Source organism: Homo sapiens, chromosome 9 (genome assembly GCF_000001405.40).
Source record: "Homo sapiens chromosome 9, GRCh38.p14 Primary Assembly".
Lineage (NCBI taxonomy): Eukaryota > Metazoa > Chordata > Mammalia > Primates > Hominidae > Homo > Homo sapiens.
The window spans coordinates 64479727-64488534 of NC_000009.12; the positions used below are offsets into that span (position 1 = coordinate 64479727).

An 8808-nucleotide genomic window follows, 5' to 3' on the forward strand; every position below is an offset into this window, starting at 1 on the left:
GGGCAGGTCACCCCTTCATGTGGGATGTACAAAACAATCCTCCACAAATTTAAATTTATGCCTATGATCATGTGTAATGAAATTAGCCCTCAAGAGCCAACTTGAGACCATGTTCAGAATGAAAGCTTCAGAAACTCATGGCAAACACATGAATATAAGGCCATTTTAGACACAGTCCCCAGATTACCTCTGAATTCAGTGGGGAAAAAGTGACAAGGAGCAATATTTAGGGCATCTAGGATAGTGCTACCTTCTCATCCCTAACATAAGCCAAATTAAAACTTCATACTAATGCTCTGAAGCCTAATAATAACTAGTAAGGTTTATGTCTGTCAAAAAGCCACTGCAGGCTACTGTTAAAACCAGCTACACAACCATCTGGAAGACATTTGCCTCCTTCTGGTTAAAAACAGTCCCATGTCTACTGATGATGTAGTTAAGGTTGTATCAAGATCTTCTATCTCTCAGCAGGGATGTGGTTTCCCAAATGCTAATATTTGACCAACAAAAGTTTTGCAGCCAGAGTTTGTGCAAGTATTGGTAGATAGAAAATACAAAATCCAACCATTTCTCATGAATGATTAAACAAAAAAAAGAATGCAAGAAGCCTGTGTGCATGTGCGTGGGTATATATGCATGTGTGTGTGTGTATTCAGGTTTGTTAACTTTATTAACTTTGTTTAAAATTTAATTTAAAAATTAGATTGGGGAGTAAAATATCATTCTTCCTCTCTCATCATAAAACTTTTGGCTCACGGGATTCTGACATTCCATCATGCTTGGAAAAGTTGGATTTATGAAACCAGTCGCTGGACTGAGCCTGCCTATGCAGTTCTTACACAGGTGTTCCCTATTTTGTGCACAAGCATCCTCAAGAGACCAAAGATAGTGATTGAGAGAGACGGGCTCTGAAGTCTTTTTATTTCAACTTCTTGGAATCACCACCTTGTTAATGAACATCAAAATCTTTTGTGTCATTTATCAGATTAATTACTTTTTCCATAAAAAGAGTGAGTTGAGAGGATAACAAGAAACTCCCTGTCCCTGCTTCATCCTGAAAACAGGAGAATCAATATCTTAACCCTGTTTTTGAGAGATGAATGGGTAGGTCAACATTGCTTGGCTATTTGTCCTTCCATTTGGGACAGATTACCACTGCACTTTCCCCTCAATCTCTAGAATCATGGCTTATAGAAAACAATTTTGTACTGAATTACTAAATGCATCAAAACTTTATTAGACTTATTATCAAAGAGCATGCTCAGATGTATCTATTATAAATAGTAATAAAAATATAAAAACCTAAAAACAATATTATAAATAACAGAGAAAAGCTATGCACTGTTATGAAAGCCTTTCATATTTAGGGATATCAGGTAAGGTTTCCCTTGGTGGGGAAGATGAAGAGCAAACCAAAATAAGAGTAAGAGCTGGCTGGGTGTGGTGGCTTACGCCTGTAATCCCAGCACTTTGGGAGGCTGAGGCAGGTGAATCACGAGGTCAGGAGATCGAGACCATCCTGGCTAACACTGTGAAACCCTGTCTCTACTAAAAATACAAAAAAAAAAAAAAAAATTAGCCAGGTGAGGTGGCAGGCGCCTGTAGTCCCAGCTACTTTGGAGGCTAAGGCAGGAGAATGGCATGAACCTGGGAGGTGGAGCTTGTAGTGAGCTGAGATCACACCACTGCACTCCAGCCTGGGCAACAGAGCAAGACTCCATCTCAAAAAAAACAAACAAAAAAAACCCAGTAAGAGCTAATTATATAAATCTGGGATGGTAGTGGGAAAAGCATATGAGTAAGAAGACCAAAGTCCAGGAGACAAGAAGAAATACATCTGAATCATTTAGTTCAACAATGTTCATGCCACAAGAGGGGGGAAAGAGAAAGGAAACAAATTTTGTACTGCTTGAACCCATTTTTGGACTCTTGCTATTTATCCTGTACTAATGTGAAGTCTTTGGGAGTTTTTAAGCAAAGCAATTTACAATGCAAATTGTATTTACATTTCAAGTAATCATTCCAGATATAACACAGAACCATTTTTGGAGAGAGAATCAGGGAGAGCACTTTAGAGGTGCTCACCATAGCCCAGGTGAGAGAGTGATGGGCTGGAATCCATGATGGCAATGAAGATAGAAAGAGAAAAATTCATTCAAGAAATAGAGAGAAGGTAAAATCTGACAATACTTGGTGATTTGAAATGGAAATGTGAAGAACAAAATGTCAAAAATTAATTGAGATGTCAGGTGTAGGTAGAAGTTGACATCATTTGCTGCAAAAAAAAAGACACACAAGAAGAATACCACTTTCAGTGAAAGAGACATCTAGGTTGCTTAAAGTATGAAACGGGACTTTTCCAATTTCATGCAGGTAAATTAGGAGGGCTCAACCTTGAAGCACAAAAGATGGTGATTATGGTAACACTGGCCTTGAGACCAGGACCTGTATCAGACTCTAGAAAGATCAGTGTGATTTGGAGCTGCTACAGACTGGAATATTTCAGTGAAAAACAAAACAAAACAAAGCATTCACCCTTATTCTTGCAGTCTTGTTTTATTTGAAGGAGTAAATAATTGGGCCTTATTCAGAGCTGCAAGTTTTGGTAAGCCCTAAAATGAACAAAAAATTGTATAAAATGGAAGCAATTCACCAATTCTATTCACTTAACATTTACTGATTTTCTTCCAGGTTTAAGTATTATGATAGGCATTGTACAGTAATTACTTTATTGACCATCTTCTCTGGTGTTTGTATTAATACACAAAGAAATCTAACTTTAAAAGTGTAGCATTGCTTTCAGCTGACACCAATCATTACCCGTTATCCCAATTCATTAAATCAGATTGTTTCAGCAATAAGTTACATTTTGAAGTTAACGAAATACTTAAAAGGCTGTGATGTTGTAGCTGCAGATGTAGTATGCAAAACACATTTGATTCATGTCGTTCAGCACAATTTCATCTTAAAATCTTATCTACAAAACATTTTTACACATCTATTATTCTCTTGCTTTATGTAAAGTTTATGTCATTTATCTCTATCAAGTTAAGTTACATTTCTAGTTTTTCTCAACCATAAAAGACAGCATTAATTTTTACAAACATTAATGATGAACTATATTCACTCATAACTATTTGTGTCTAAGTCATCTTAGATTTACTGAACAATTTCTGAGTAACTAATGGCTAGCCTTTTATTATTCTATGATGATAAACATTTTTACAGTATCCAGGCTTCAGACATATTTTTGAAAACATTTCTATATGGGTCAAAATTTAAATCAGTTGTAATATGTGATCCACTCAAATATATTCTCCAGGATGCGCTATTAAAATGAAATACCGAGGTGGTTCCCCAAGACACCAATTTAAAGTGTATATGTGCAGTGCAGGGTTACTGGACCAAGGCACAGTGTAAACAGCGAAATTTTATTTTTTGTTTTCTTTTTCCTAAGATGTTTCTTATTCCCCATTATATAAAAATGTATATTACAGGCAAAGAAAAATTAACACGAATAGAAGTAAATATAAAGTATATTCACATTAATATCAGCTTTGCTTTATCTATTAAGGGATGTAACACACTTGTGGTTTTCAGGACCTTGTAACTCCTGGTTCATTGGAAAGCACAGAAATTCTTCAGAGCCTCAAGAGTTGTGTTTAACGCATTATTTAAATAGTGTCCAACCACTAGTTAGATAGCTTAGCACTCAAATAGCCTTTGAAATCTCTGTAGACTCACCTCAATTGAAGAGTCCTGATAATTTACAGAAGTGTGTAGTGCACTAAGAGATCCCTGATGGATAATGTCTTTGCCTGTGGAGTGTTTTATGTGTTGATCCACTGGAGTGTGTGTGTGTGTGTGTCTGTGTGTAGGTGGGTGAGTATGGGTGGGCGTGGATTGTGTGTGTATGTGTTTACACTGTGGTATGTGTCTGTTGGGGTGCCGCCATTTGGGATTTGGAAAAGTGAGGACCATAAACTTGTCAACATTCCTACATGCCTGCTTCATAAGAAGTGTACTGAACATGGCCAAAAGTAACTAAACCAAGTAAACAAATTAGACATTAATTAAATTTAATGCTGGGCAGGAAAGAAGTAGTCAAGGCCAGGTAAAATGAAGAAATATAACCAAATGAATGAAATTTTTAGATTGATTCATAGAATGAGACAGGAATATTTTTTAAAATTTGTAGTTTCTAATGAATAACAGCATATAAAATAAGAATCATATGGCTGTCAATTGACTAAAAACTGTACATAAGATTTGAGCTAGTGAAACAACCATATATGATCTTCTAATTCCACTTTTCTATCTCAAGAATGACTTGTTAAAATGATTTTTTTTGAAATTTTACATTCTCATCTTGAAAGAGCTTCACAAAACTCACATGAGAATCTGGATTGTCATAAGAGGTCTGATTTTTTAATGGTATGTTTGTATTTTTGTTATGTACATCAATGTCAAGCATTCGTTTCCTGAGCTGTTCTCTACAACACAATTTAACTTGTAATGGACACTCAGTAAATGGTCGGTTGGATATTCAAATCAACACCTTAGTTCCATCAATTTTCACTTCATATAAAAATGCCTGATCTTCTATACTCATCAATGAAACAGAGAGATGAAGGAGGGAGAGCAGTTGAGACTGAGAGGATGACAAGCAGACCTCATTCTGCAGTGGATTTCCTACACTCTCCACTTCTGAATGCTTGGAAACACTTGCCATGCTCAAAAAATATTGGTATTTCCTAGGCAGCAAATGGGAGTTAAAGAAAGTCCATATTTCTATATTACAATAACTTACACTATAATACACAGATGGCATACATTTCTAAGCAATTTCAGTTCACAGAAAATGTAGATAAATTTAGGTGAGCAAGATGTAAGGGAAGGGTTAGTAATCAAGCTGAGTGTGATTGTGAGATTAAATCTAATATTATCTTATACAATTATTGTATAATTGTATCAGTTGACATATCTGTTGAAACAGAAGGTGGGAGAGTTTTGCATGCGCTTCCGAAATGTACTGGATGATGTTAGGAGAGAGACAGGTCAACGTGGCTAGGCCATAAGTGTTTACTAATTGAGGCTTAGGAAAGTTAAGCTCCTAACCAGAGACTGGGAGATAGAGGCGCTAAAGTGTATAACATTTATATTTAATATATATTTAATAATATATAATAAAGTCTTAAAATGCCAATTTTAAGTCTTTTCATTTTCTTCTTAAAAACAGAGGTTTTATTGCGTTTGGTCCACAGTCGGTATTTCACATTATCTCATAGCGCAGGGCGCCTGGGTGGAGGGCTCTGTGCAGTACTTGGCGTGGCCTGGAGCCAGGAGAGATAGAGCAGTAGACCTGGTCAGGCCCGGAAGGGGAGAAGGAGGGCCGGGGCTCCTTAAGACCTACTGAGGGGCTGGGCGCGGTGGCTCTCGTCTGTCAACCCAACACTTTGGGAGGACGAAACAGGCGGATCACATGAGGGAAAGAGTTCCCGACCAGCCTGGCCAACATGGTGAAATCCCGTCTCTACTAAAAATACAAAAAATTAGGTAGGCGTGGTGGTGGGCGCCTGTAGTCTCAGCTACTCTGGAGGCTGAGGCAGGAGAATCGCTTAAGCTGGGAGGCTGAGGTGCAGTGAGGCGAGATTACTCCACTGTGCTTCAGCCTGGGCGACAGAGTGAGACTGCATCTCAAAAAAAACAAAAACAAAAACAAACAAAAAACCCTACTGAGGGCCACGGGGGTGGAGGAACTAGGATGGAGAGGGGTCAGACTTAATCCTGGCAACTCAGAATTCCACTAACTTGTACGGGTCTCAGTTTCCTCACCGGGCCCCAGCATAGGTTTGAGGGTCTGAGGTCTGTTGGTCTGAGGGTCCTAGGGAAATCCAGCCACTCAGGAGCCTGAGATATTTTAGCATCGTGGCTGGGCCCCCTCTCCCAGGGGACTCATTTCCCAGCACCCTCTCCACTGTCTCCGCCCCATTCCTCGGAGAAGAAAAAAATTTCTTTCTTTTGTTAATACTTCCTGAAACTTTTGCAGGTACAGAAACCACAAACTGATCGGCTGACAAAAAGGGGAAGAGGAGAGGCAACCAGAAACCTTCGGGGACTGGTTCCCTCCATGCCCAGGTCTCTTCTCCCCAGCACAGCTCAGCCCACAGCCTGGAAGTGCCAGCGGGGACCTTCACCCTACACGCATCAGGATACGGCCTTGATCCCTTCCCCCACAGCCCGGTGTCTCAGTCCTGCCAAGGAACCAAAGCAAGGGGAGGTGGGGAAAAAACCCTGCTGCCTGATCCCACGCTGCCACTCACAGACCCTCGGTTGACTGGCAGCACTGAACAGGTTAAAAAAAAAAAAGATGAAAACACAGAAAAACCCAACACCCAGACGGGGAGACCATGTGTGGAGAGAGCGTGCTGGGAGCCTCAGTAGCCGGTCTCCTCCTGGTAGTAAGGGGCCTCCCCTGGCCCTGGGCAGTTGCCGGCGGAGGGAGCCCCGTGGGCCACTGGGCCACCCGGCTAGTACTTGGGTTCGTATATTTGCCGGCCTAGGCCAAAGACCTGGCCGCTGTGATTGGCAACCTGCGTGTAGCCCATCTTCAGGGACATGGAGGAGTTCTCACACTTGTCGATTCCCAACTTGGTGTCATAGATGTGCCGCTGGGTCCCGGGAGCCTTCATGCCCACCTGGCTGGCGCACTTGTTTGTACCCATCTGGAGGCTGATGGTCGAATTGTCCATGGGGGGCAGGATGCGGTTCTTGGGGTCGTAGAGATGCCTCCTCGTGCCATATGCGGTCATGCCTGACTGGCTGGCACATTTGTTGGTAATCTGCAGCCGGATGACACACTGGCTGGCCTTCATGGTGGTGTCGTGGAAGTTCTGCTTCTCTGAGTACTTGTCACGGATGTCCACCCCGCTCCGCAGCCCCTTAGTCTTGGCCTTCCCTGCCAGGGCGAGAAGAGACACCCGCACTTGCATATTGTTCCCACTCTCAAACAGGTCGTTGGCCTCAAATAGGTCCACGGGATCATGCCGTAGCTGACCATTGCCTTGAGGAAGTTGGAGAGGTTTTCTAGCTAGTGCCAGTTCTACACGGAAGCCGTTGATCTTGGGGACTGAGCCCGGCTGCAGTTTGTTCACGAGTGTGCATAAAATAATCCCGTCCTTCAGGCCCTTCTGGAAGTCGGGGAGGATGGAGAGGCCAGTGAATCCCTTGATCCAGCTGCGGAGCTCTGCCTCCTTCTGGGAGTCATATTTGGGCAGAAGCCTGTTCTGGACGTCCGCCAAGAGCCTGTAGGAGGGGCCCTTGTTGAACTGCGTGGAGCTTATGGCTGGAGGGCGCCGCCGCGGGGCGGATCCGACAGGACCAGCGGCTAAGTCTTTTTTCTAGTTCGCAATGTTTTGTTTTCACCACACCATTGTTTTACTACATATTTTATTGTATGTGTATTGTGTTAAATATACATTTTGTGTATTTAAAAATGTGTGGAAAATGTTAGACCATCTCCCTTTTTTCCACCTTCCCTTTTACCCTTTACTGCCATTTACATCCACACATCCACACACACATACATCCACACACACACATACTGACCAAAATTAATTTCAATATACGAATGGGTTATTTGAAGCGAAAAGTCAATCTATATTAGTAAAAGTGTCATGCCAGTATGAATTATATTTATAATCCTTTCAAGAAGAAAGAACTTCCGGCCGGGCGCTGTGGCTCACGCCTGTAATCCCAGCACTTTGGGAGGCCGAGGCGGGCTGATCATGAGGTCAGGAATTCAAGACCAGCCTGGCCAAGATGGTGAAACTTCGTCTCTACTAAAAATACAAAAAAATTAGCTGGGCTTGGTGGCGGGCGCCTGTAATCCCAGCTACTTGGGAGGCTGAAGCAGAGAATTCCTTAAACCCGGGAGGCGGAGGTTGCAGTGAGCCAAGATTGTGCCACTGCACTCTAGCCTGGGCGACAGAGCAAGACTCCGTCTCAAACCAAAAAAAAAAAAAAAGAAAAAAAAAGAAAAAGAAAAAGAAAAAAGAAAGAACTTCCTTAATTTTTTGAAGAGACTATTCTGTATCCATTTTATAATTTTGTGGCCACTGAAAAAGGTATATTAAATCACAGACACAGTGAATGTAGTAAGTGGTAGTTTAAAATGTTAAAATGTTAAATCACGCCTGTACTCCCAGCACTTTGGGAGGCTGAGGGGGGAGTATCGCCTGAGGTTGGCAGTTCAAGACCAGCCTGGCCAACATGGTGAAACCCCTTCTCTACTAAAAATACAAAAATTAGCCAGGTATGGTGGCACAAATCTGTAATCCCAGCTACTCAGGAGGCTGAGGCAGGAGAATGTCTTGAATCCTGGAGGGGGAGGTTGCAGTGAGCTGAGATCAAGCCACTGCACTCCAGCCTGGACAACACAGTGAGACTGTCTCAAAAATAAAATAAAGTGTTGAATTTTTACAAGTCGTTGTTCCTATTCTAATTTTTGAATGCAACCACAGCCTCTAACAAAACAGCCTCGTTACACTAATTCGCTGATAATGAATTCTTAAGTAAAAGGGGAATTCCATAGAAATATATATGGCTCTTTTATGTTTAAGAAAAGTAAGAGCCTGAAAAACAGATGTGTTCTGTAAAACTGAATTACTTTCTATCCAGTTCCACTGGTTCCACTGTTTTATATCTTTATATTAAAACATATATAAATGATTGATTGATGAATTTTTTTCTTTTAGACACTGCTGCTGAATCCTTGGAGAGAAAAAGGATAAATTTCCAGAACTATGG

At 41.3% G+C, this 8808-nt stretch overlaps 1 pseudogene; it reads right to left on the bottom strand.

Annotated features, from left to right (window-relative positions):
• Positions 1-6240: 6240 nt before the first annotated feature.
• Positions 6241-7381, bottom strand: CNN2P3 (calponin 2 pseudogene 3; annotated as a pseudogene).